The 26,567-nt window shown below is 51.6% G+C and overlaps 1 non-coding gene across 1 annotated transcript; it reads left to right on the top strand.

The window, feature by feature from the left end:
- The first annotated feature begins 25,984 nt into the window (after nt 1-25,984).
- Nucleotides 25,985-26,064, top strand: MIR4283-1 (microRNA 4283-1). Its single transcript, NR_036246.1, has one exon. It is a non-coding gene; the product is annotated as a microRNA 4283-1 (primary transcript).
- Nucleotides 26,065-26,567: the final 503 nt, after the last annotated feature.

The following is a 26,567-nucleotide window of genomic DNA, read 5'->3' as shown; positions in this document are numbered from 1 at the left end:
TCTCATGCCTCCACCTCCCAGGTTCAAGAATTCTGGTGCCACCGCCTCCCAGGTTCAAGCAATTCTCGTGCCTCAGCCTCCCGAGTAGCTGGGATTACAGGCATGCGCCACCATGCCCAGCTAATTTTTTATTTTTAGTAGAGATGGGGTTTCTCCATGTTGGTCTCAAACTCTCGACCTCAGGTGATCCGCCTACCTTGGCCTCCCAAAGTGCTGAGATTACAGGCGGGAGCCACCGCACCCAGCTAAAGATGGCATCTTTTTTTTTTTTTGAGACGGATTCTCACTCTGTCACCCAGGCTGGAGTGCGGTGGCGAGATCTCAGCTCACTGCAAGCTCCGCCTCCCGGGTTCACGCCATTCTTCTGCCTCAGCCTCCCAAAGATGACATCTTAACATATGTCCCTGAGTTGTTTTTCAGAAACCTGGACCCCCCCACCAAACGATCTGTTGACAGGCCTAGACCTCAGGGGGAGCTGAGGACAGAACTCTGACCCCTGTTCTTTGTTCTAAATTATTTCCCCACGGGCCGGCAGGAGGTCCTGTCCACAGGCCAGAGCTAACATTCTTTTCTACTGATCCCAGATTTTTAAACAAAGCTTCACCTGCTTAAAGCAATTGCAAATTAGAAAATCTTCAGGTCGGGCGCGGTGGCTCATGCCTGTAATCTCAACACTTTGGGAGGCCAAGGTAGGCAGATCATGAGGTCAGGAGATCAAGACCATCCCGGCCAATATGGTGAAGCCACGTCTCTACTAAAAATACAAAAATTAGCTGGGCATGGTGGTGCATGCCTGTAATCCCAGCTACTCGGGAGGCTGAGGGAGGAGAACCGCTTGAACCCAGGAGGTGGAGGTTGCAGTGAGCTGAGATCGCACCACTGCACTCCAGCCTGGCAACAGAGCGAGACTCCATCAAAAAAAAAAGCATTTCAAATCTTCCTATGACCTGTGGGTCCCTGCTTCGAGATATCCCACTTCTATTTATTTATTTATTTATTTTTGAGATGGAGTCTCGCTCTGTCTCCCAGGCTGGAGTGCAATGGTGTGATCTTGGCTCCCTGCAACCTCCACCTCCTGGGCTCAAGCGATTTTCCTGCCTCAGCCTCTGGAGCAGCTGGGATTACAGGTGCGCGCGCACCACCACACCCAGCTAATTTTTTGTATTTTCAGTAAAGAGAGGGTTTCACCATGTCGCCCAGGCTCGCCTCGAACTCCTGGCCTCAAGTGATCCACCCTCGTCGGCCTCCCAAAGTGCTGGGATTATAGGCGTCAGCTGCCGTGCCCAGATCCTCCCCACCTTTAAAAGCCCTTGCCCACAAGCCATTGGGAAGCCGTCAGGGAGTCTGGGTTTTAAGCACGAGCTGAGCTGCCCAATTCTCCCTGTTTGGAGTCCTGCACGAAACGCCTCATTTTCTCTTCACTGCAGCCCTGATGTCAGAATTAGGCTTTGCTGTGCGAGGCGGGTAGACTCTGGTTTGGTAACAACAGTCCAAAGGCATGTACCCTCTGTTGCAGAAGAGCTGATGGAGGGGGGCTCTGTGGGCAGTGGGGATATTTTAGGTGGGGCTTTGTTCCCTGCCCCCAGCCCCGAACTCCAGGCCTCATCTCTCCTGATGGTGGCGAAACCGAGAACCTGACTCTGGAATTTACTATCTCTGTCCCTCGCAGTTGGTGTGGGGGCTGCCTTCTGGGGGACTCATATTTGCATAAGCCAGGGGAGGGTTTGGCTGCAAAAGAGCCACGAACGAACGAAGGATCACAAAAGCAACACAAATGCTTCGAAGCGCTTAAAATAAAACCCAGCAAAGAAGCAGGCCAGTTAAGAGAAGGTGCGATTACCTAGTAGTCATTTTAAATTCACGCTCGGCCCTCCAATCTTCTTAAGTGGTGGCCTGACTTTGCGTTTCAGCTGGACCTGGAATACATTCGGTATTCACTTTTCAGAAGCGATGCACCAGCCTACGGTCCCAGCTCACGTCTAGGGGGGGTAGGCACCATTATTTCTGCGCTGTAAATGGAAAGGCTGCCGTCAGAGGTTATGTGGGAGGGTGAGAAAAAATGTGGAGGGTTTTAGCAACAGAAATGTACCAGGTGGATACAGATCCCCCAGCTATAAACACATGGCTGAGCTCAAAAGAAAGAGAGGCGAATTCTCAAATGTGAGAGCAGGAAGGCTGTCTTATGGCACCTGGGGCCAGGAACGTGGACCCCAGATCCAGGCTCTAGCTTGGGGCTGCAGTATAATATCCACACCAGTTGCGACTTGACCTTGAATTTGTTTGAGATGCAAGAAAAGAGACGGCTCAAAATGCAAATCACTGGCCAGACACGGCGACTCACTCCTGTAATCCCAGTACTTTGGGCTGCCGAGGCAGGTGGATCACCTGAGGCCAGGAGTTTGAGACCAGACTGGCCAACATGGTGATACCCCATCTCTACTAAAAAATACAAAAATTAGCTGGGACTTGTAATCCCAGCTACTCGGGAGGCTGAGGCAGGAGAATCTCTTGAACCCAGGAGGTGGAGGTTGCAGTGAGCCAAGATTGTGCCATTGCACTCCAGTCTGGGCAACAAGAGTGAAACTCCGTCTCAAAAAAAAAAAAAAAAAAAAGGAAATCATTGAAGAGCTGTTCAGTCAAGAGAGATTCCTGAAGAAGGCTCAGGATGTCTGGTGTATCCAGGGAGCTCAGGTGCTTGCCAGGGCCTGGGGGAGGTTGAAATGTGGAGGGTTTGCTTCATGGGTGGAGAGCTTCTGTTAGGAATGGTGAAAAAGTTATGTAATCAGATGGTTTGCACAACATCGTGAATGCACACGATGCCGCTGCATTGTTCACTTAAAATAGCTGCAACAGTCACTTTTATATTGTGTATATTTCCCCACAATTAAAACCAAAAGAGGCGGGCGTGGTGGCTCATGCCTGTAATCCCAGCACTTTGGGAGTCCGAGCCAGGCAGGTTGCTTGAGTTCAGGAGCTCAAGACCAGCTTGACCAATGTGGTGAAACCCTGTCTCTACTAAAATATAAAAAAAATTAGCTGGGTGTGGTGGCAGGCACCTGTAGTACCAGCTCCTTGGGAGGCTGAGGCACAAGAATCACTTGAACCCGGGAGGTGGAGTTTGCAGTGAACCGAGATCGCGCCGTTGCACTCCAGCCTGGGCAACAGAGTGAGACTTGGTCTCAAAAAAAAAAAAAAAAAAAAAAGAATGCTCAGCTGTCCGGTTATGAAAGTAATATTCGTGAATCAATTTTTTTTTTTGAGACGGAATCACTCTGTCACCCAGACTGGAGTGCAGTGGCATGATCTCAGCTCACTGCAAGCTCCACCTCCTGGGTTCAAGTGATTCTCCTGCCTCAGCCTCCTGAGTAGCTGGGATTACAGGCGCCCACCACCGCACCTGGCTAATTTTTGTATTTTTGTAGTAGAGACGGGGGTTTCACCATGTTGGCCAGGCTGGTCTTGAACTCCTGACCTCAGGCAATCCACCCACCTCAGCCTCCCAAAGTGCTGGGATTACAGGCGTGAGCCACCACACCTGGCAGAATCAATCATTTTCTACATGCCAGCAATGATAGATTAGAAAAAACAGTGGTGGAGGGGAGACACCACAAGACTGGCAGGAAATCACTCACAATAGCAGCAAAGACATAAAACACTGAGTAATTAATTAAATGAAATTAATACAATTTATATGAAAAACAGCTACAGTATCTGGAGTGGCTCAGGAAATATTTGTTAGCAAATGAATAATTACAAATTTTATAGGGATATAAAAGAAACAAGAAAAAAAAGAAAATATTTACCACTTTTTTATAGGAAAAAAAGGCAGTAACAATCCAAGACATTGGAATAAGCCTATTGGTATAAAGACTGATTATTGGCCAGGCACGATGGCTCATGCCTATAATCCCAACACTTTGGGAGGCCAAGATTTGAGGATTGCTGAAGTCCAGGAGTTTCAGACCAGCCTGGGCAACATAATGAGACCCCCATCTCTATAAAAAATTGTTTTAAGTTAGCCAGGTATAGTGGCACACTCCTGTAGTCCCAGCTACTCAGGAGGCTAAGGTGGGAGGATCGCTTGAGCCAAGGAGGTGGAGGCTGCAGTGAGCCATGATTGTGCCACTGCACTCCAGCCTGGGCAATGAGTGAGACTGTCTCAAAAAACACAAAAACAAAAAAAGACTTGACTATTAAAAAGAAATCGAGGCAATGGGTAATGACTCATTTGGAATGGCTAAAAACGATGTGTCCCTACTAGTAAAACTCTTGCATCAATAATGAAAGGTAACATTCTCAACAACTAGTGAAAACAGGTGAAGTGCCTGCAGGGGTTCATCATGCTGTTCTTCTAGACATGTTGTGACATTGAAAAATTTCACAACAAAACGTTGTAAAGTTCATGAAGCAATTGGAAACATTTGAGCACTGATTGGATGGTCAATGCTGTTAAGGAAACATTGTTAATTTGTTTTGGGGGATAATGGGGGATAATGGTATCATGAGATGGTTTTCTTTTTTTTTTTCTTTTTTTCTTTTTTTTTTTTTTTTGAGATGGAGCCTCCCTGTGTCGCCCAGGCTGGAGTGCAGTGGTGCAATCTCAGCTCACCACAACCTCTGCCTCCTGGGTTCAAGCAATTCTCCTGCCTCAGCCTCCCGAGTAGCTGGGACTACAGGTGCCCACCACCACACCCAGGTAATTTTTGTATTTTTTTTTTTTTTTTTAGTAGATACAGGGTTTCGCCACGTTGGCCAGGCTGGTCTTGAGCTCTCGACCTCAGGCGATCCATCTGCCTCGGCCTCCCAAAGAGCTGCGATTACAGGCATGAGCCACCACACCCAGCCTTATGGGATGGTTTTCAAAAGCATCCTTTTTTAGAAGTAGATTCTGATATATAATCGGACGGTATGATATGATATCTGGGATTTTCAAAGTCTGGAATGTGGAGGGGAGGAGGCACAGGTACAGGTATGGATGAAACAAGCTCACCCATGAGTTGACAATTGCCAAAGGTAGGTGGTGAGGACATAAGGGTTCATTGTTTTATTCTCTTGGCTTCTGTATAATTTGAATTTTTCAATAACACAAATATTTCTAAAGCCAATGACTTCATTATTGTTCCAAGATGACATGATTACCTATATGGAAAATTACAAAGAATCAACACAGAAACTTCCTGGAACTAATAAGCGATTATAGCAAGGTTGCAGGATACAAAGTTAATTTACAAAGGTCAATTGCTCTCCTAAGTCCCAGCAATGAACAATTGGCCTTACATTTAAAACACAGGCCGGGCACAGTGGCTCACACCTGTAATCCCAGCTCTTTGGGAGGCTGAGGCGGTTGGATCACGAGGTCAGGAGATCGATACCATCTTGACGAACATGGTGAAACCCCGTCTCTACTAAAATACAAAAAATTAGCCTGGCGTGGTGACGTGTGCCTGTAATCCCAGCTACTTGGGAGGCTGAGGCAGGGGAATCGCTTGAACCCAGGAGGCGGAGGTTGTGGTGAGCTGAGATGGCACCTCTGCACTCCAGCCTGGCAACAGAGCAAGACACTGTCTCAAAAAAAAAAAAAGAAATTTAAAACACAGTACCATTTATATTAGCACCTCAGAACTGAAATACCTATGAAACTAACAAGATATATACAGGATTGATATGGGGAAAATTATAAAAGTCTGATGAAATAAATCAAAGAAGAACCAAATAAATGGAGAGATATTCCATGTTCATGGATAGGAAAACTTGATATTGTCAACATGTCAGCTCTTCCCTACTTGATCTATAGATTCAACACAATCCCAATCAAAATCCTAGCAAATTATTTTGTGGACAATGACAAACTGATTTTCAAGTTTATATGGAGAGACAAAAGAGCCAGAATAGCCAACATAATATTGAAGAAGAAAGTTGGAAGACTGATTTAATATTTACTATAAAACTACAGTAATCAAGGCAGAAGCCAGGCACAGTAGTGGACACCCGTGGTCCCAGCTATATGGGAAGCTGAGATGGGAGAATGGCATGGGCCCAGGAGTCCAAGGCTGCAGTGCACTACGATTGCACCTGTGAATAGCCACTGCACTCAAGCCTGGGTAATGCAGAGAGAGCCCATCTCTTAAAAAATAAAAATAAAAACAGGGCTGGGTGCAGTGGCTCACACCTATAATCCCAGCACTTTGGGAGGCCAAGGTGGGTGGATCACCTGAGGTCAGGAGTTCGAGGCCAGTCTGGCCAACATGGTGAAATCTTGTCTCTACTAAAAACACAAAAATTAGCTTGGCATGGTGGCAGGCGCATGTAATCCTGGCTACTCGGGAGGCTGAGGCAGGAGAATCACTTGAACCCGGGAGGCGGAGGTTGTGGTGAGCCGAGTTTGTGCCACTGCACTCCAGCCTGGGCGACAGAGCGAGACTCAGTCTCAAAAAATAAATAAATATACAAATAAATAAAAATAAAAAAGGAGGTGGGGGAACCAGTACCGTGGCTCGCACCTATAATGCCAGCATTTTGGGAGCCTAATATGGGAGGATGGCTTGAGGCCAGGAGTTTGAGACCAGCCTGGGAAACACAGCAAGACTCCATCTGTACAAAAATGAAAAATAAAAAATTAGCCAGGCACTATGGTACACACTTGTAGTCCCAGCTACTCAGGAAGCTGAGATAGGAGGATCCCTTGAGCCCAGGAGGTCAAGGCTGCAGTGAGCTATGATTGCACTATTGCACTCCAGCCTGGGCAACAGAGTGAGAACTGCTGTCTAAAAGATAAATAAATAAAGACCCTGTGGAATTGGCAAGCAAACAGAGATGGATCAATGGAGCAGAATAGAAAGCCCAGAAATAGACACACATAAATATAGCACATTCCTTTGGAAAACCATGCAGCATATCTTGAGCTCTCCAGCAGGTTTGCATCAGTAATGGGGAGAAACTCCTTTTATAAAAAAAAAAAAATTGCAGGTCAGGCGAGGTGGTTCATCCCTGTGATCCCAACACTTCTGGAGGCCAAGGTGGGCCCGTAATCCCACCACTTTGGAAGCTCAAGATGGGAGGATTACTTGAGCCCAAGAGTTCGAGACCAGCCTGGACAACACAGTGAGACCCCCATCTCTACATTTTTTTTTTTTTTGAGACAGAGTCTCGCTCTTTTGCCTAGGCCAGACTGCAGTGGTGCTATCTCGGCTAACTGCAAGCTCTGCCTCCCGGGTTCATGCCATTCTCCTGCCTCAGCCTCCCGAGTAGCTGGGACTACAGGTGCCCGCCGCCACGCCGGGCTAACTTTTTATATTTTTAGTAGAGATGGGGTTTCACTGTGTTAGCCAGGATGGTCTTGATCTCCTGACTTTGTGATCCACCCGCCTCAGCCTCCCAAAGTGCTGGGATTACAGGCATGAGCCACCGCGCCCGGCCTTATTATTATTATTTTTTTAATTAGCCAGGCATGGTGGTGCACGCCTGTGGTCTCAGCTACTCAGGGAGGCTGAGGCGGGAGGATCACCTGAGCCTGGGAGGTCGAGGCTGCAATGAGCCAAGATTGCACCACTGCACTCCAGCCTGAGAGACAGAGTGAGACTCTGTTATACGTATTTGCACAAAGAAGAAACAATAGACACCAGGGCCTACTTAAGGGTGGAGTTGGGGAGGAGGGTGAGGATCAAAAAAACTACCTGTCGGGTACTGTGCTTATTACCTGGGTGATAAAATAATCTGTACACCAAACTGCCATGACACAAAATTTACCCATGTAACAACCCTGCATGTGTGCCCTCAGTATCTAAAACAAGAGTTATTCCAGGCGCGGTGGCTCATGCCTATAATCCCAGCACTTTGGAAGGCCGAGGCAGGCAGATCACTTGAGGTCAGGAGTTCTAGACCAGCCTGGCCAACATAGTGAAACCCCGTCTGTACTAAAGAATACAAAAATCAGGCCAGGTGCGGTGGCTCATGCCTGTAATCGCAGCACTTTGGGAGGCCGAGGCGGGCAGATCACGAGATCAGGAGATTGAGACCATCCTGGCTAACACGGTGAAACCCCATCTCTACTAAAAATACAAAAAAAAAAAAAATTAGTCGAGCATGGTGGCAGGCACCTGTAGTCCCAGCTACTCAGGAGGCTGAGGCAGGAGAATGGCGTGAACCCAGGAGGCGGAGCTTGCAGTGAGCCGAGATTGCGCCACTGCACTCCAGCCTGGGAGACAGAGGGAGACTCCTCCTCAAAAAAAAAAAATCAGCCAGGCATGGTGACACGTGCCCATAATCCCAGCTACTGGGGAGGCTGAGGCAGGATAATAGTTTGAACCCAGGAGGTGGAGACTGCACTGAGCCGAGACGACGCCACTGCACTCCAGCCTGGGCAACAGAGGGAGACTCTGTCTCAAAAAAATAAAATAATTAAGTAAAATAAAATAAAAAATAAATTAATTAATTAAACATTTCATTTTAACAGGCTTTCCTATCTCATCACCAACTCAGGGCAGTTTCTCCAGGAACCTGGCAGGCCCCGCCACAGAGAGACCCTGCTTCAATCCGCCATGCCCAGCCCTTGCCTGGTGGCCACTCTCTGCAGCCCTCCCCAGGGGTCCCTGGCCCAGCTCCAGGCCTGCTCAATGCCCTGTTCCTAATGCTGACATCTCACAGCGACTGAGATCCGACCACAGTCCAGGCCCCACCGGAGATGCTTCACAGGAATCATTTCTGCCTCACAATGGCCCTTTGAGGAGGAGGCTTTTATTGTGCCCCTTGCAAATGAGGAAACTGAGGCATGGAGAGAGGTACTAACTCACACAATAGCAGGAGACCCTGGATGCAGCTGCAGGCAGTAGGCCCCCAGAGCCTGCTCATCTCAGGCCTGCCGGCTCCTCCACCTGCCTTTTCCAGTACCCTGGGAACCCCCCAAGGACAGGTGTCATCGGTTGCTTCATCTCACCATCCCTGGGCCCAGCACAGATCCAGGCACACAGTGGCTGCTCACGTAAGCTGAATGAAAGGAGTCATGGCTGCAGGGTGCCCTGGGCCTCCACCTTAGCTCCTGCTACAGAATGTCTCCAACACAAACATGCCTTTTTTTGTTTGTTTGTTTTGTTTTGAGACAGAGTCTTATTCTGTTGCCCAGGCTAGAGTGCTATGGTGCAATCTCAGCTCACAACAACCTGCATCTGCTGGGTTCAAGTGATTCTCCTGCCTCAGCCTCCCAAGTAGCTGGGATTGCAGGTGTGTGCCACCATGCCCCAGCTAATTTTGGTATTTTTAGTAGAGACGGGGTTTCGCCATGTTGGGCAGGCTGGTCTTGAGCTCCTGACCTCAGGTGCTGGGATTACAGGCATGAGCCGCCGCTCCCAGCCACAAACACGCCTCTTTATTATTATTATTATTATTTTTTGAGACGGAGTCTCACTCTGTCGCCAGGTTGGAGTGCAGTGGCGCGATCTCTGCTCACTGCAAGCTCTGCCTCCTGGGTTCATGCCATTCTCCTGCCTCAGCCTCCTGAGTAGCTGGGACTACAGGCGCCCGCCACCACACCCAGCTAATTTTTTGTATATTTAGTAGAGACGGGGTTTCACCGTGTTAGCCAGGATGGTCTCGATCTCCTGACCTTGTGATCCACCCGCCATGGCCTCCCAGAGTGTTGGGATTACAGGTGTGAGCCACCATGCCCAGCCTCCGAGACCCTTCTTAGCAGAAGTGATCTGGGAGCAGGAAGCCCCAGAAGGGGTGTGTCCCCAAAGCAACCCTGAAGCAAGCGTGCAGGCAACCTGAGAAGGGCTGTGGGTCTGGGCAAGGCTGTTCTTTAGGCAGCTGGAGCCTCGGTGGGCAAGAGGAACTCAACCCTCTTGGGAGCCCCTGGGCTGCTGTGGCTGTCCCAACCCAGGCACCAGGAACCCCGAGTTTATCCACCAGTCGCCACCCATCATGGGCGAGGGCCGCTCCTAGGGCCAGCCCCAGCTGTGCACCTGCACCGGGAATGCACTCAGGAGGAAGGTGACTGGCACCTGCAGGGGGACATGTTGGCTGGCACCCACCTTTTGGGGCAAGACAGGCTGAGGGGGCTGGGCGTAGTGGCTCACACCTATAGTCCCAGCACTTTGGGAGGCCGAGGCAGGAGGATCACTTGAGCCTAGGAGTTCAAGACCAGCCTGGCAACACAGTGAGGCTCCATCTCTACAAAAAACTAGCCAGACATAGTGGAATGCACCTGTGATCCCAGCTATGTGGGAGGCTGAGGCAGGAGGATCACTAGAACCCAGGAGTTGGAAGCTGCAGTGAGCTGAGATTGTGCCACTGCACTCCAGCCTGGGGGATGGAGCGAGACCCTGTCTCAGAAACAAAAACAAAACAAAAAAAAGGGCAGAGGGGAATCACGAGGTCAGGAGTTCGAGACCAGCTTGGCCAACATGGTGAAACCCTGTCTCTATTAAAAATACAAAAATTAGGCCAGGTGCAGTGGCTCACGCCTGTAATCCCAACACTTTGGGAGGCCAAGATGGGTGGATCACCTGAGGTCAGGAGTTAGAGACCAGCCTGGCCAACATGGTGAAACCCCATCTCTATTAAAAATACAAAAATTAGCCGGGCATGGTGGCAGGCACCTGTAGTCCAAGCTACTTGGGAGGCTGAGGCAGAAGAATCGCTTGAACCCAGGAGGCGGAGGTTGCAGTGAGCCGAGATCGTGCCACTGCACTCCAGCCTGGGCGACAGAGTGAGACTCCAGGGCAGAGGAGAAAAGAGAGGGAGAGAGGAAGGGTGGGGATCAGGATGAGGACAGGGAGAGAGACAAGCAGAGAGAGGAGAGGGCAATGTCACAGCAGCCACTAGAACCAAGACCTCCACTGTCCTGGTTCTGTCCTCCTTCCGGTCAGCAGCAACCTGCCATTGGTCATTCCCTGGCCACTTGTGCCCGGTACAAACAACATGTCTGCCCTCCCGAGGCTGGGCCTGCTTCCTAGAGTCTGGGAGTGGAAGACATCACTTGACCAGCTAGGACCCCCTCCGCCCACCACCGTGGTTCCCTGCTTGGGGCAGAGCTGAAACAACTCCCACCCAGCCACATATGCCTTGAATCTTCCCCACAGCTGCCAGGGCCATGGTATCCAGGAGGAGCGAGCATTCGGCCCTCACTGCACTCAGCCCTTCCTGCCTTGCCCAGGCCTATGAAGATGGCCTGTTTCTCCCTCCTTGATGGGGAACGAACCTGCTGGAGACGGGCGCACCTGCTCCCAAGTTCATTGAGAGTGCCAGCGAGGCAGGGGCTTGGACCCAGACCCCTGTGCGCCAGGCCTGCACCCCTCAAACGCAGGCTCTGAGCATGTAAGCTATTTTTGTACGCACAGCGAATGTTCATTTTCCTCCTCCGAGGCAGGGCTGTTGAACCTTCTCTTCAGGTCAGGGACCCCTTAGAGAGTCTCATAAGAGCCACTTCCCGGGAAAAATCACACTCGCTCGGCCAAGAGGGGCCCTGCACTCTGAGAGCCTGTGATTTCCTGAAGCGTGAAGTGTTTGGAGGAAGATTAGCCTCTCCCTCCTCCAGAGGCAGAGCTGGGAGGTGGAGGAACCCAGCAGCGGATTCAGGCCTGGGCTGTGGGAGCCCCTCGACCCCCGAATCTCCACCTCCTCCCCTCAGCCCTGCCTGGGTGACATCCTTCCGGGAACCAGGACAAATGGATCAGTCACAGGGTTCCCACTTGGCCTCCCTGATCATGAAACGACCCCACTCATTCTAATCTCCATCCTCCGGGCTTTTGGGAAGGTGAGAAATGTCTTCTGCCTCTGAAATCTCAGAAGAAATTATTTCCACTCCAGCAGCAGGAAACCCTTTGAGGGAAGAGACGGCTCCATCAGCAAAGAGGCCACAGGATGGAATTGGCCCTGGGGCGGGGGCCTGCCCAGACTCCTCCCAGGCCAGAGAGAGGTGGGCCGGAGGACAACGAGTCCACTCCACAGGGCCCCTGTACTGCATGAGCCGGTGAACAGGCTGCTCACAGACCAGGACCTTGTATCTGTGACCCAGCCAGCAAAGGGTCCCTCAGGGCCCACCCACAGCCATGCATGAGCCTGGGAAATAGGAGCTCCAGCCCAGACTAGGGGGACAGGGTCATCCCCTGGCCTCACCCCAGTTCAGATCACAGCCATATGTAGAGTAAACTTGGGGTACAGGCAAGGCCCTGAGCCCTTCCCAAAGCTGAGGGGAAGTAGGTTTGGCGAGGAGATGCAGGGAAGGTTCTGGAAACCTGGAAGCACACCTCTTGTGTCCTCTCCTTTGGAGACAGTTTGTGGAATCTCTCTGGTAATTTTTTTTTTTTTTTCTGAGACAGAGTCTCATTCTGTCATCCAGGCTGGAAGGCAGTGGCACGATCTTGGCTCACTGCAACCTCCGTCTCCCTGTTTCAAGCGATTCTCACGCCTTAGCCTCCCTAGTAGCTGGGATTACAGGTGCACACCCCATCACGACTGGCTAATTTTTGTATTTTTTAGTAGAGACAGAGTTTCACCACTTTGGCCAGGCTGGTCTTGAACTCCTGATCTCAGGTGATCCTCCCACCTTGGCCTCCCAAAGTGCTGGAATTACAGGCATGAGTCACCAAGCCCGGCCTCTTTTTTTGTGTGTTTTTTGTTTTTGTTTGTTTGAGACCAAGTCTTACTGTTGCCCAGGCTGGAGTGCAGTGGCAAGATCTTGGCTCACTGCAACCTCTGCCTCCCAGGTTCAAGCAATCCTCCTGCCTCAGCCTCCCAAGTAGCTGGGATTATGGGCATATGCCACCACGCCCTGCTAATTTTTGTATTTTTAGTAGAGATGAGGTTTCACCATGTTGGCCAGGCTGGTCTCAAACTCCTGACCTCAGGTGATCCACTTGCCTCGGCCTCCCAAAGTGCTGGGACTACAGGCTTGAGCCACCGCACCTGGCCAATTCTTTTTTTTTTCTTTTTTTTTTTTAAGAGTTGGGGTCTCGCTCTGTCACCCAGGCTGGAGTGCAGTGGTGCCATCATACCTCACTGCAGCCTAGATGTCCCAGGCTCAGGAGACCCTCCCCCCTCAGCCTCCCAAGTAGCTGGGACCACAGGTTCACCACCACCACACCTGGCTAATGCTAATTTTTAAAATTTTCTGTAGAGACAAGGTCTTGCTCTGTTGCCCAGGCTAGAGTGCAGTGGCATGATCACAGTTCACTGTTGTCTAGAACCCCTAGGCTTAAGCGATCCTCCCATGTCGGCCTCTCAAGTAGCTGGGACTACAGATGGGCACCACCATGCTCAGCTATAGCATGAACTCTGATGGTCAGAAGGGTGAGGAGCCAGAGGCAGGACCCTCCAGGCAGAGAGACCAGCCCAAGACACAAATCTGGGAAGCGTGAGGGACCAAGTCGTAGAGGGTGGGGGCCCTAAATTAGACCAGGGGACATACCCCACATCTTGCCCAAGAGCAGAAGAGTGCCAAAGGGCTGCCGACAGGCTGGTGGGCACACACCAGCTGTGGCCCTGGGGCTCTGGCAGCTGAACAGGTGTCTGTGCCAGCCCAGAGCCCAGACCCTAGGACCAAGCAGATGGTCACAGAGCACTCTCTCTTCTGTGCAAGGCCAAGCCACCACCGGGTACCAGGCTCCATGTGGGGGCACTCCCAAATGACCACCCATCCTTCCATCAGCCCTGGGTGGGCTTTTGCCATTTTACAAGAAATGGGAGGCTCACAGAGGTTGAGAAATGTGATCAAAGACACACAGCATAGCCAGGGGTTGAATCCAGGACTGCTGGGACACCAGGGGAGTGACAGTTTTCAGCAGAGCACACGTGTGTGTGTCTATTGTTGTGAGTGTCTGTGTGAGCCTGGCAGTGGCCACAGGTGTCAGAGCCGACTCCTCCCAGCTCCAAAGACGACTGTGTGCCCTGTCCCCAACTCTGACCTCATAATGATAGCTGGAATCCGGTGGGAATATTGACACCATGGAAATTAGCAACTGCTACAAGTCAGAACGCTGGGTGTGTTAAATACTGACCAGTCCAGCACTGACTGACAAGTGTGTGCATCTACGTGAGATTGAGTGTGTGTCTTTGTATGTGTGTGTCTGGGTCTGTCCATCTGTGCGGTGCCTTTATCTCCTGCTTTGCTCATCTGTCTATCCCTATCTGAATCTGTGTGCACGCCTCTGTGTGTCTGAATGTGTCTGTGTGTGTCTGTGGCTGAGTGTGCTTCAGTGTGTGTGTGTCTTGCATGCATGTGTATGTCTGTGTGTGTCTATGTGTGTGTCCAAGCACATATGCATTTCTGTGTGTGACAGTGTTTTGGGGGTGTTTGTGTGTGTGTGTGTGTCACTGTGTCTGTGTGTGTTCATGTGACTGTGTGGCCTCTCAAGCTGAAGATGATGGTTTCAACTGAAATTGAGGCTGACGCTCTCCACTACAAAGCTCAATTTGCTTGCAAATGTCCTTCAAGAGGCAGAGGAGACAGGAGCAGAGGGGGCGGGAGGCAGGAGCCAGACAGACGCAGCGACCGGCAGCAGAAATGACATCACCCGGCAGATTCCAAGAGCGCCCCAAGACCAGTGGGGTGTCACCCACCTGGAGGCACTGTGGATCCTAGAGGAGACTCTGGCAGGCCCCAAACACAGCCCTTGAGGAAGTAGTCATTTGGGAGGATTCGGAGTGATAAAAATATAGTTTGTTGCTTGCGAAAATCACTTGTGACTTAAAAGCGTCTCCCGTTGTCATGGAATTGACAATACCATTGAGGATCAAAGGGACAAGAATAGACGAGGAGCTCTGTTTCCCACTTAACTCCTGGAAGCCTTTTCTCCCAAGCTTCCCACTCTCTCCTCCCTCTGAAGAAGACTCTAGAGGCTGTAGTGCAACCCTCCATCACTCAAAAGCTGGGACGCTCTCTGTTCTGGACAGACACCCCTTGTCAGGAAGAGCCCCACCTCCCCAACCCCAGCCACATGGCTGCCGTCCTGCTGCCCCACCCTCCTGGCCCCGGGCAACCATGTGACCCAAGTTGGGCCAATCAGATTCTCCCCTGGGATTTTTCATATTGAAACCAAGGGAGAAGGGTTGGGCCCTCCTGGGAGATAAAAGTGGGTGGCTGTGTGGGTGGTGGCTGATGCCTGTAATCCCAGCACTTTGGAAGGGCGAAGTGGGAGGATCACTTGAAGTCAGGAGTTCGAGAACAGCCTGGACAACATGGCCCATCTCATAGACTTGATGGCCAAGGCCCCAAGAGGAGGCATGACTTGCCCAAGGCCATACAGTGCAGGGTGCCGGGCGATAAAGTCCCAGAGACACTCTCTTCCTCCTGCAGGTCAAAGCACCAGAATCCAAAGCGCCCTCCGCTCCTGATGGCTCAGAAGGGAGCCACCCCATCAATTATTAAATGTCCTTACAAGCCCAAGAAACTGAGATGGGACTGGATCAGAAGCCATCAGACCACTCACAACCTTTGGCTAAAAAGGAAAAATTAAGGCCAGGCGCAGTGGCTCACACCTGTATTTCCAACACTTTGGGAGGCTGAGGTGGGTGGATCACTTGAGGTCAGGAGTTCGAGACCAGCCTGGCCAACATAGCAAAACCCAGTCTCTACTAAAAATACAAAAATTAGCCAGGCGTGGTGGTGGGCACTTGTAATTCCAACTACTCGGGAGGCTGAGGCAGGAGAATTGCTTGAACCCGGGATGCAGAGGTTACAGTGAGCTGAGATCACACCACTGCACTCCAGCCTGGGCGACAAGAGCAAAACTCCATCTCAAAAAAAAAAAAAAAAAAAGGAAACATTAAGTTCATGGGGAGTTAATCCACGTATTGCAGAAGGCAGGAATTCTCAGTGTTTTGGCATCCCTGGGATAACGACAAACTTCGCTTAGAACAAGATGTTGGGAGCCACAGAGCAGTTTCCACGTAGTCCCTTTGACATCTTGGGGGAGTGGGGAGGGTCCTGTGAAATGTGACTCTCACACTCACCTCAGTTCCACAGGCAAGTGCTCCAAGACTTCACAGTTGAACTTTTAGCTAAGGACAGAGTTCTTTCCCAATCTCCCCCATATGCATATTTATTTCACCCAACAAAACCTGACTTTTACACACATTTCATAAAGCAACGCGCATTCTGCATTCCCACGGAATGTTATATTGTGTGCATTGCTTCATCTCACCAGGCTTCCTTTTTAAGAACTTCCCTCTGCCCGGGCGTGGGTGGCTCATGGCTATAATCACAGCACTTTGGGAGGCCAAGGCCGGAGGATGCTTACGTTCTTTATGTTATTTAGCTTGGGCAACATAGTGAGACCCCATCTCTACAAAAACAAAAAGTTAACCAGGCGTGGGGGTGCATGCCTGTTAGCTACTCAGGAGGCTGAGGCAGGAGGATAGCTTGAGTCCAAGAGGTCAAGGCTACAGTGCAGCGAGCTATGATCGCACCACTGCACTCCAGCCTGTGCAAAAGAGTGAGACCCTGACTCTTTTTTTTTTTTGGAGACAGAGTCTAGCTCTGTAGCCCAGCCTAGAATGCAGTGGCAAGACCTCAACTCACTGCAACCTCCACCTCTTGGGTTCAAGCAATTCTCATACCTCAGCCTCCCAAGTAGCTGGGATTACAGATGTGCACCACCACACCCAGCTAATTTTTATATTTTCAGTAAAGGTGGGGTTTCCCTACGTTGGCCAGGCTGGTCTTGAACTCCTGACCTCAAGTGATCTGCTCACCTCGGCCTCCCAAAGTGCTGGAATTACAGGTGTGAGCCACCATGCCCAGCCATACCCTGACTCTTAAAAATGAAATAAAATAAAGTTAATGTTGTAAACATGAAATATGCTGCTCTCAAGAATTGATGTTCAGGCCGGGCATGGTGGCTCATGCCTGTAATCCCAGCACTTTGGGATCCTCCCAGCAGGATGATCACTTGAGCGCAGGAGTTTGAGACTAGCCCAGGCAATATGGTGAAAGCCCATCTCTACAAACCCCACAACAATTAGCCGCGTGTGGTGGCATGGACCTGTGGTCCCAGATACTCGGGAGGCTGAGGTGGGAGGATCACTTGAGTCCAGGAGTTCGAGGCTGCAGTGAGCTATTATGGTACCACTGCATTCCAGCCTGGGAAACAGAGCAAGACCCTGCCTCAAGGCAAAAAAAAAAAAAAAAAAGGATGCTGTAGGAGTTAGGACCAGAGAGATGTTGTGCTGTTTTAGGTGAACTTTCGTGTTACTGATGATGAAGTAGAGTATCTAAGAGTGACTCTGCACACCCGAGAAATACCCTGAGTGTGTCCCGTCTCCTGGCAGCTCAGTACCCTTTCTGCTCCACCCCAGGGTCTACGTGGTCATCCCGGGGCCACCACGTTTTATTTGATCATAAAGTTTTTTGGTGGCTCTCGCCTCTCTGAGACCTCAACAGAAAACAGCAGATTGAGATCAGGGTAATTCAAGGAGGGTTATTTACAAAGGGATGGTTCACACGAGGGAGGACAGGGGGTCAGGAACCGCCTGGCACTATGGTGACCTGGGATAGCAGAAAAAAGAGCTGTGACCGGCTGGGCGCAGTGGCTCAAGCCTGTAATCCTAGCACTGTGGGAGGCCAAGGTGGGCGGATTGCCTGAGCTCAGGAGTTTGAGATCAGCCTGGGCAACATGGTGAAACCCCATCTGTACTAAAATACAAAAAAAACAAATTAGCCAGGCATGGCGGCATGCGCCTGTAATCCCAGCTACTCAGGAGGCTGAGGCAGGAGACTTGCTTGAACCAGGGAGGCAGAGGTTGCAGCGAGCCAAGATTGCACCACTGCACTCCAGCCTGGCAACAGAGCAAGACTCCATCTCAATTAAAAAAAAAAAAAAAGAGCTGTGGCTGCCCCTAAGCCCAAACCAGTAGGGAAGGACCAGACACCAGAATCTTTTTTTTTTTTTTTTGAGACGGAGCCTCACATTCTCACCCAGGCCGGAGTGCAGTGGCGTGATCTCGGCTCACTACAAGCTCCGCCTCCCAGGTTCACGCCATTCTCCTGCCTCAGCCTCCCGAGTAGCTGGGACTACAGGCGCCCGCCATCACACCCAGCTAATTTTTTGTATTTTCAGTAGAGATGGGGTTTCACCATGTTAGCCAGGATGGTCTCAATCTTCTGACCTTGTGATCCTCCCGCCTCAGCCTCCCAAAGTGCTGGGATTACAGGCATGAGCCACCACACCTGGCCTGCATTAGGCTATCTTTGTCTTTTGCTACAAGGAGCTCAGGAGGAGTGTTTTAGACTTTGCTTATTTTCATTACAAAATGTTAAATTATTTCTTCCTTTCAGATATTTCCTGTCGGTATTTTTTTTTTTTTGAGATGGCGTCTCGCTCTGTCACCCAGGTTGGAGTGCAGTGATGTGATCTCAGCTCACTGCAACCTCTGCCTCCCAGGTTTAAGCGATCCTCCTGACTTAGCCTCCCTAGTAGCTGGGATTATAGGCCTGCACCACCATGCCTGGCTAATTTTTGTATTTTTAGTAGAGACGGGTTTTGCCATGTTGGCCAGGCTGGTCTCAAACTCCTGAACTCAAGTGATCTGCCTGCCTTGGCCTCCCAAAGTGCTGGGAAATACAGGCGTGAGCCACCACGCCTGGCCCAAGACACCAGAATCTAGAATGAGAGAGAGGGGCCTTGGGAAGCCGTGACCTATGTCAAGGAACACTCTAGGCAGGGTGACCTCACGGGGAGGGAGTCAGGAGAAGATATGGTTAACTTCGAATCCCTTTCTCACTCCCTCCAACCCCCTGTTGGTGTCTTCCTTCCATTAGCCAAATCTCACTGGAAGACAGAGGCAGGGAGTCCATTGATGTGGCTCATACAGGGCAGCTCCCCAGGGCACTCAGCAGGGTGGAGAAGGGCAGGGGGAAAACAGAGGATGAAATTTGCAGTCTGGTGACGACCCCTCCCGGGTTATACTGGCCAGTGGCTGCTGAGAGATTTGAGCACCAGGAGCCAGAAGAAACCTCCCGCAGGGCTTGTCTTAGTCCATTTGCTACTGCTACAACTGAATACCTGATGCTGGGTAATTTTTAAAGAAAACGGCGGGGCGCGGTGGCTCATGCCTTTAATCCCAGCACTTTGGGAGGCTGAGGCGGGTGGATCACGAGGTCAAGAGATCGAGACCATCCTGGCTAACACAGTGAAACCCCGTCTCTACTAAAAATACAATAAATTAGCCAGGCGTGGTGGCGGGCGCCTGTAGTCCCAGCTACTCTGGAGGCTGAGGCAGGAGAATGGCATGAACCTGGGAGGCGGAGCTTGCAGTGAGCCCAGATTGTGCCACTGCACTCCAGCCTGGGTGACAGAGCGAGACTCCGTCTCAAAAAAAAAAAAAAAGAAAAAAGAAAACTATTTATTTCTTACAGTTCTAGAGGCTGGGAAGTCCAAGGCTGTGGGGCTGTGTCTGGTGAGGACCTTCTTGCTAGTGGGGACTCCTGTCTGCAGAGTCCCAGGGAGGCACAGGGCATCCCATGGTGAGAGGGCTGAGCATCCTATCTCAAATCTCTCTTCTTCTTATAAGGCCACCAATCCCACTCCCATAATAACCCATAATTAATGAATGGATTACTCCATTCGAGAGGGCAGAGCCCGCATGACCCAATCAGCTCTTAAAGGCCCCACCTCTCAATACTGACACATTGGGGATAAATTTCAACATGAGTGTCGGAGAAGACAAACATTCAAACCATAGCAGGGCTTCTTAGTCTTTGGGGGAATCAAGGAGAATTTGATGAAATCCATCGATTCCTCTTCCTGGAAACAGGTACATCCACACTCCTTCAGTTCCAAGTGGCAGAAACGCCACTCATACAGCTTTATGCTAAAAAGGGAATTTACTGGCCCACAGAGTAGGTGTCAGGTAAGGCTAGATCCAGGGTCTCAAGTAACGCTGCCAGGGCTCTGGCTTCATCTGCTGTTCTGTTTGTCTTCATGAACTTCATTCTGCACATAGGTGCTGGGCACATGGCGGACAGGTGTCTATGGCAGCTTGATCTTATCTCCCCAAATTGAGGTGCCATAAAATAAACCCATCCAGGAAGACCTCATAAAAGTTCTAAGGAAGGCTCTGACAGGCCAGGTTCGAGCCATATGCCCTTCCCTGACCAACCTCTGTGTTCCAATGGATACTGTCCCATGACTGGCCTCAGTGATGCTTTGGTGACTCACAGCCCTACCTCCCCCCAGGGCGGGTGGGGTGGAAGCTTCCCAAACCAATACACATTATAGCCACTTTGGGAGGCTGAAGCGGCAGATCACAAGGTCAAGAGATTGAGACCATCCTGGCCAACATGGTGAAACCGCCCCCCCTACTAAAAATACAAAAGTTAGCCAGGCGTGGTGGTGTGCACCTGTAGTCCCAGCTGTTGTGTGCAGCCCTCCCCTAAGACACACAACAGCACAGGGACCACAGGCCACCACTCACCCCTTTTCTTTGCAGGTAGAGAAACGGAGCCACAGATCAAGGTCACCCAGTGAGTGAGAAGCAAAGTCTGGAGCTGAGGCAAGTTTTTCAAATTCCTCTTCCAAGGCTTTCTCTTGGAAAGCCCAAAGCTTATTAAATCCTTAAAGGGCATTATCAACGGGACGTGCATTGAGTTTCCTTAATCCTGCAAGAGGATTAGGAGAATTCAGCCAAGATAAGCTCCTTCAGGGACAAACCAGCCGCCTCTCACCAACCCGTGCTCTTAGCGGGCTGGGACAAGCCCCCTCAAGGAGCCTCGACCTTGGGACGCATCCCCACCTCATCAGGCTCACAGCCCATAATTATAATAACCACAGCCGTGTTCAGACAGCCCAGGAAGGCTTCCAAGGGGACTGGTGTTTTTTAGAAGACAAAACAGCAGGAACAAAGATACATAGTCTGAGGCTGGGTGCAGTGTCTCCTGCCTGTAATCCCAGCACTTTGGAAGGCTGAGGCAGGAGGATCACTTGAGCTCAGGAGTTTGAGACAGGGCTGGGCAACATAGTAAGACCCTGTCTCTACAAAAAAATTTTTAAATTGTGTAGCTGGAACTACAGGCATCGTGGCATGTTCCTGTAGTCCCAGCTACTCAGGGAGGCTGAGGCAGGAGAATCACTTGAACCCACGAGTTTGAGGCTGCAGCGAGCTATGATTGTGCCACTGCAGTCCAGCCAGGGCCACAGAGCAAGAGCTTGTCTCTAAAAAGAAGATATGGAGGCTGGAACTTGAGGTCATACCTACCCCTAAATATACAAGGCCTGGGATGAGGGCCAAATTATGAAAGGCTCACACATCATACCTAAGAGTTATAAATCAAGCGGAAAAACTGCTAGGCAAATACATTCTGTCTCATACTTTTCTTTTTTTAATTTTTTTTTTAGAGACAGGGTCTTGCTATGTTGCCCAGGCTGGATTCAAACTCCTAGGCTCAAGCAATCTTCCCAACTCGGCCTTCACCTGAGTAGCTGGGACTAGAGGCAGGCACCCAGCTCCTGTTTCATATCTTTCTTTTTTTCTTTTTCTGTTTCTTTTTTTTTTAATTTGAGATAGGGTCTCGCTTTTGTCATTGGGGCCAGAGTGCAGTGGTACAATCTCAGCTCACTGCAGCCTCTGCCTCCCAGGCTCAAGCAATCCTCCCTCTTCAGCCTCCCAAGTAGCTGGGACTACAGGTGCACGCCACCACGCCCGGCTAACTTTCATATTTATTGTAGAGTTGGGGTTTCACCATGTTGCCCAGACTGTATTCAAATTCTTGGGTTCAAGCCATCCTCCCACCTCAGCTTCCTGAGGCTCTGGGATAAGAGGTGCAAACCACGGCACTGGTCCGTCCGTGGTGGATTTCAAGGTGCCAAGATGACATCACTGGACTTGGATTTGGGGAGAGAACGCAGCCGCATAGCACACTGTCATTTGGCGTTTCCATCCTACAGGGTACCAGGGATGGAAATAACCCGGAGAATGCAGACCCTAGTCACATAATTAGACAGTGATGAATTTTGAGTTTGTATTACCTTTGTATGTTTATTTCATTCCATTTTTAACAATGGCTGGCCAGGCGCGGTGGCTCATGCCTGTAATCCTAGCACTTTGGGAGGCTGAGGTGGGCAGATCACGTGGTCAAGAGATCGAGACCATCCTGGCCAACATGGCGAAACCCCGCCTGTACTAAAAATTCAAAAATTAGCCAGGCGTGGTGGTGCGCACCCGTAGTCCCAGCTACTCAGGAGGCTGAGGCAGGAGAATCACTTGAACCGGGGAGGCAGAGGTTTCAGTGAGCCGAGATCGCACCACTGCACTCCAGCCTGGCGACAGAGCGAGACTCCATCATAAAATAAAAAATAAATAAAATAAAATAAACAGTGGCTGAGTTTAACAACCTTCTCGCAATATTTCTTGAAAATGTGCTAATCGGCTCTCTGGAGCTGCTGGGAGCAGTTCCAGGACAGCACAGAGCTGTTCCCTCCAGCGAAGGAGCCCACGTCCATGTCCACGTCCACTCATGGACAAGGTGACATGCCCCAGCCTCACCAAGGGGCCCGGTGTGGCCAGCAAAGGCCCTGCGTGGGTCAATTTCCACCGAGCGGCCAGATACCCCAGGCGTTTTATTGATCCTATTGGCCACGGCAAATGGCCGCTGGACACCAATTCAGTGCCAGCCTAGGCTCAGGGACTGCCACACGTGGTCCATGTAACTCACAGTTATCCTGTGCCATGGTTACCCCACGTTACAGCTGAGGCCACTGATGCTCGGCAAGACGAAGGCGCTTGTCTTAGGTCACACGGTTAGGAGGCGGTAAGACTCAGACTAGAAACTCTTCTTCTGTCCTGACTAGGGAAGAAGGGCAAGGTGGGGGAAAGGACACCTGTCCCCAAGGAGCCACCCCTGAGGCCCAGCCTCCAGGGACACTGATGAGGAGCTGAAGAGTCCCAGGTGGGGAGGAGTAATCTCTTTTTCCCTGTCTCCCTCTCTTTCTGCCCCTCCACTTCTCTCTCCCTTTCGCTCCTGTCTCCCTCTGTCTCTCCCTCTCTCTCACACCCCCACTCTCTTTTCCTATCTCTCCCTCCCTCTCTCTCCCTCCCCCCCATCTACCTCTTTTTTTGTTTTTTTGAGACAGAGTCTTGCTTTGTCACCGAGGCTGGAGTACAATGGCGTGATCTCAGCTTACCCCAACCTCCGCCTCCCAGGTTCAAGGGATTCTCCTGCCTCAGCCTCCTGAGTAGCTTGGATTACAGGCACCTGCCACCACGCCCGACTAATTTTTGTATTTTTAGTAGAGATGGGGTTTCACCATGTTGGTCAGGCTGGTCTCGAACTCCTGACCTCAGGTGATCCGCCTACCTCGGCCTCCCAAAGTGCTGGGATTACGGGCACGAGCCAACACACCCAGCCCCCGCTGCCCCTTTTTATCTCTCTGTCTCTGAAATACCCCAGTCAAGGATCCCACCCTGTGTATGGCCCACTGTGTGACCAGCTGCTTGGCAGGGCCTGGGCCGCTGCTCTCAGGGACAGGTGCCCGGCATAGGCGGGGAGGCGCTCTCTCTCGGTTTACTTTTCTACAGCATACATTTCTGGATTGGTGAAATATTATCTTTGTCTTTAGAGGGAACAATAAAGCTATTTTCAGCTTGGGAACAAATGCGTCCAATGGTAAATAAACCCCCAATGCCGGTGCTGGGCAGGCGGGCGCTGTCGTCACGGTGGAGGCCGCCAGCCTTCCTTCCCAGGAAGGGCTTGGTCTCAGGGTGGGGGCACAGAAAGGATGTACGGAGCCCAGGAGCAGAGGGGCAGGAGGGGAAAGGAGACAGGGAGCATCCTGGAATCACGAGGCTGGACAGACCCGCAGGTTTTACGGATCCAGACACTGAGGCCCAGAGAGGGTGAGCACCCTGCCCCAGGACACACAGCCTGCAGGTGCCTGGTCCCACTTCCTGGAGCTCTGCCGGGCACCACGGCTCCAGGGAGTGCTCCGGTGTTTTCTCAGCACTTGGCAACAGATGGCTCCAACTCTCACCCACGGACGCCAAACATTTTCCCTGGTTACCCTGCTAATTTGCTCACAGCCTCCTCTTGTAAATAGAGAGTACAAAGGCTCCTCCGAGTAGTGTGTATGCCGGGCAGACGCTGATGCCACGGGGAGAGGCCTTAGAAGGAGCATAGGAAAGTCCCAGGTAAGAACTAGGTAAGGCCCAGGTAAGGCCAGGATCCTTGGCTGACCTGGGGTCGTGGGAAGGACAGTGGCTCGGGGCCCAGGCAGACCTGGTTCAGGTCTTGGCTCTGTGCTCCCTTGGAGCCCGGCTGGGAATCTTGCACTGGCCTCAGGCCCTCTGGCATCAGTTTTCTCATCTGTGAAATGGGCACGTTAATGCCAAAGGCGTAAAACAGGAGCTATTATGTAGGTGCTCAGGGACTGGATGAATCTGTGGGAATCTAGCCATCCTTCCTGCCTTCATCTGGGGTCAACAGGGTGGCGGCTGCACCCTGGGCAGCATCCCTGCCCCTCCGTCCCCAACAGTAGTCCCTTCACCCAGCCCTTTTGACAGAATTCTTTCAACAACACTTATCAGGTCCTCCTCGGTACCCAGCCCTGTCACGAGGCCCAGAGAGGAGCTGATTCAAGCTTCCACACTGGGTGGCCTTGGGCAGCTGCCTTCACTTCTCTGGGCCTCATTCCCTTGAGCCTCCCACAGAGGTCACAGGGAGGATTCCATGAGATGATGTGTGCTCAGGGTGCTCAGAGTCACTCCTACCATGCAGCAGTCAGGGAAGGCTTCCTGGAGGAGGCAACACTAGTCCTTACACCTTACAGATGCATGGGCATGATTGGGTATGGCTGGTGCTTCCAGTGGGGGTTGGGTGGGGAGGCACCTCATAGGCTCAGGCAGGGCCTGGGGTGCCCAGCTGCATGGAGGGGTTTGGAGCCGGCTGGAAAGGGGACTCCAGGCTGACCTCGGGTCCCTTGGGCCTCCCTTCCCCATAACCTCCTTCACAGCAGCCCAGCTGATAATGAAGTGCTCCTTCCAGCCGACAGCTCCTGGAGCTGGGCCAGGAGGCTCCTCCTGTCCTGGGCCTGCCTCCAGCTGCTGCCCACAGTCCCAGAAAGACTTTACCGCACCTCTCCGGCCTGGGGTGTCCTGGGGGATGAAGCTCCAGGAGGCCACCTATGGCTTGGGGCCCCAGTCCCAGAAGCCTGGCCTGGGGCGCACCTCTCTGGTCTTCAGGAAGAGGGGCCTGGAATGAGAGTGGGGGCGTCCAGTGGGGCAGCTTAACCGGGCAGGGCTGATGGGACCACGGGCTGGGGAGGGACCGGGGCCTGGGGAGGAACCAGAATCTGCCTGGCCTCACTGTGTGACTTGGGTGAGCTCCTCTACCTCTCTGAGCCTGGGCTTCCCATCTGTCTGGGATGTCTCCCCTCCTGTAGTCACTGTGAGGTTCTGAGCAGAGGACACTCTTAGCCCAGAGCCTGGTGCATAGCTGGTGCGGTGAGCGCCAGCCCCTCCCTGTTCCTGCAGAGCCCTGCCGTTCAGCGCACACAGGCTGCCTTGCCCTCTCCAGAGAGGATCATGGGGCTTAATTTGTTGATTGAATTTGCTTGTTTGGACCAGATGGTTGGGTCTCATTTTCTTTTTTTCTTTCTTTTTTTTGGAGACGGAGTCTTGCTCCATCACCTAGGCTGAAGTGCAGTGGCATGATCTCGGCTCACTGCAACCTCCGCCTCCTGTGTACAAGCGATTCTCCTGCCTCAGCCTCCCAAGTACCTGGGATTACAGGCACGCACCACCATGCCTGGCTAATTTTTGTATTTTTGGTAGGGATGGGGTTTCGCCACGTTGGCCAGGCTGGTCTCAAACTCCTGACCTCAGGTGATCCACCCACCTCGGCCTCCCAAAGTCCTGAGATTACAAGCATGAGCCACCACGCCTGGCCGTGGGTCTCGTTTTCTCTTGCAAGTTTGACTCCATGGTGCCTGAATGCAGGGGAAGCAGGTGGTGTCCTGTCCCGGCAAAGGCAGACATGGGGCTGACACAGAACGGCCCAGGGACTCTGATCCTGGGGCTCAGCGAGTTTGCAAGGGGTGTTTCTGTCCATGGTCAGGCTTGCCAGCCTTGGTCCTTGGGCCCACCATAAGGTGGCCCAGTCCTGACCCTGTCTTGGAATTGCTGAGAGCAGAAATGCAGTAATGTGTCACCATGATGATGTCTGGTGTCATGCTATCAGACCCACCATTCCTCAGTGGGACCCCTGCCTCACCACTCACCAGCTGGCTCCCTGGTCTGCAAAAGGTGGTTCACTGGTACCCAGGTCCCTGTGCGAATGAGAGGAGCTGACTTCTATGAAAGCCACTCCCTGCACCCAGGGAGACTAAGGAGGTGGGAGGCTCTCGTCCCCTCAAAGCCCAGCCAGCCAGCCCCCTCTCCTTCTGCCTCCCCAGGGAACCGTGTCCCGAGCAGGGCCCTTCACCCCATCTCTGTCTGATCTCCACTGCGTGTACGGATTGACGGGAAAGATTCTAATGGGCTTTAAGTTAACAAGCTGGGAACGAATTAAGTTTGATCTCTGCCAGAAGCAGATGGCATAGCTTCCTGGCCTGGAACAGCCCGGCTGGAGCAGTGGCAGGTGGCAA

Source organism: Homo sapiens, chromosome 7, assembly GCF_000001405.40.
Source record: "Homo sapiens chromosome 7, GRCh38.p14 Primary Assembly".
Lineage (NCBI taxonomy): Eukaryota > Metazoa > Chordata > Mammalia > Primates > Hominidae > Homo > Homo sapiens.
Note: the sequence above shows the minus strand (reverse complement) of the source record. Positions and strands in the feature narration are given on the sequence as shown.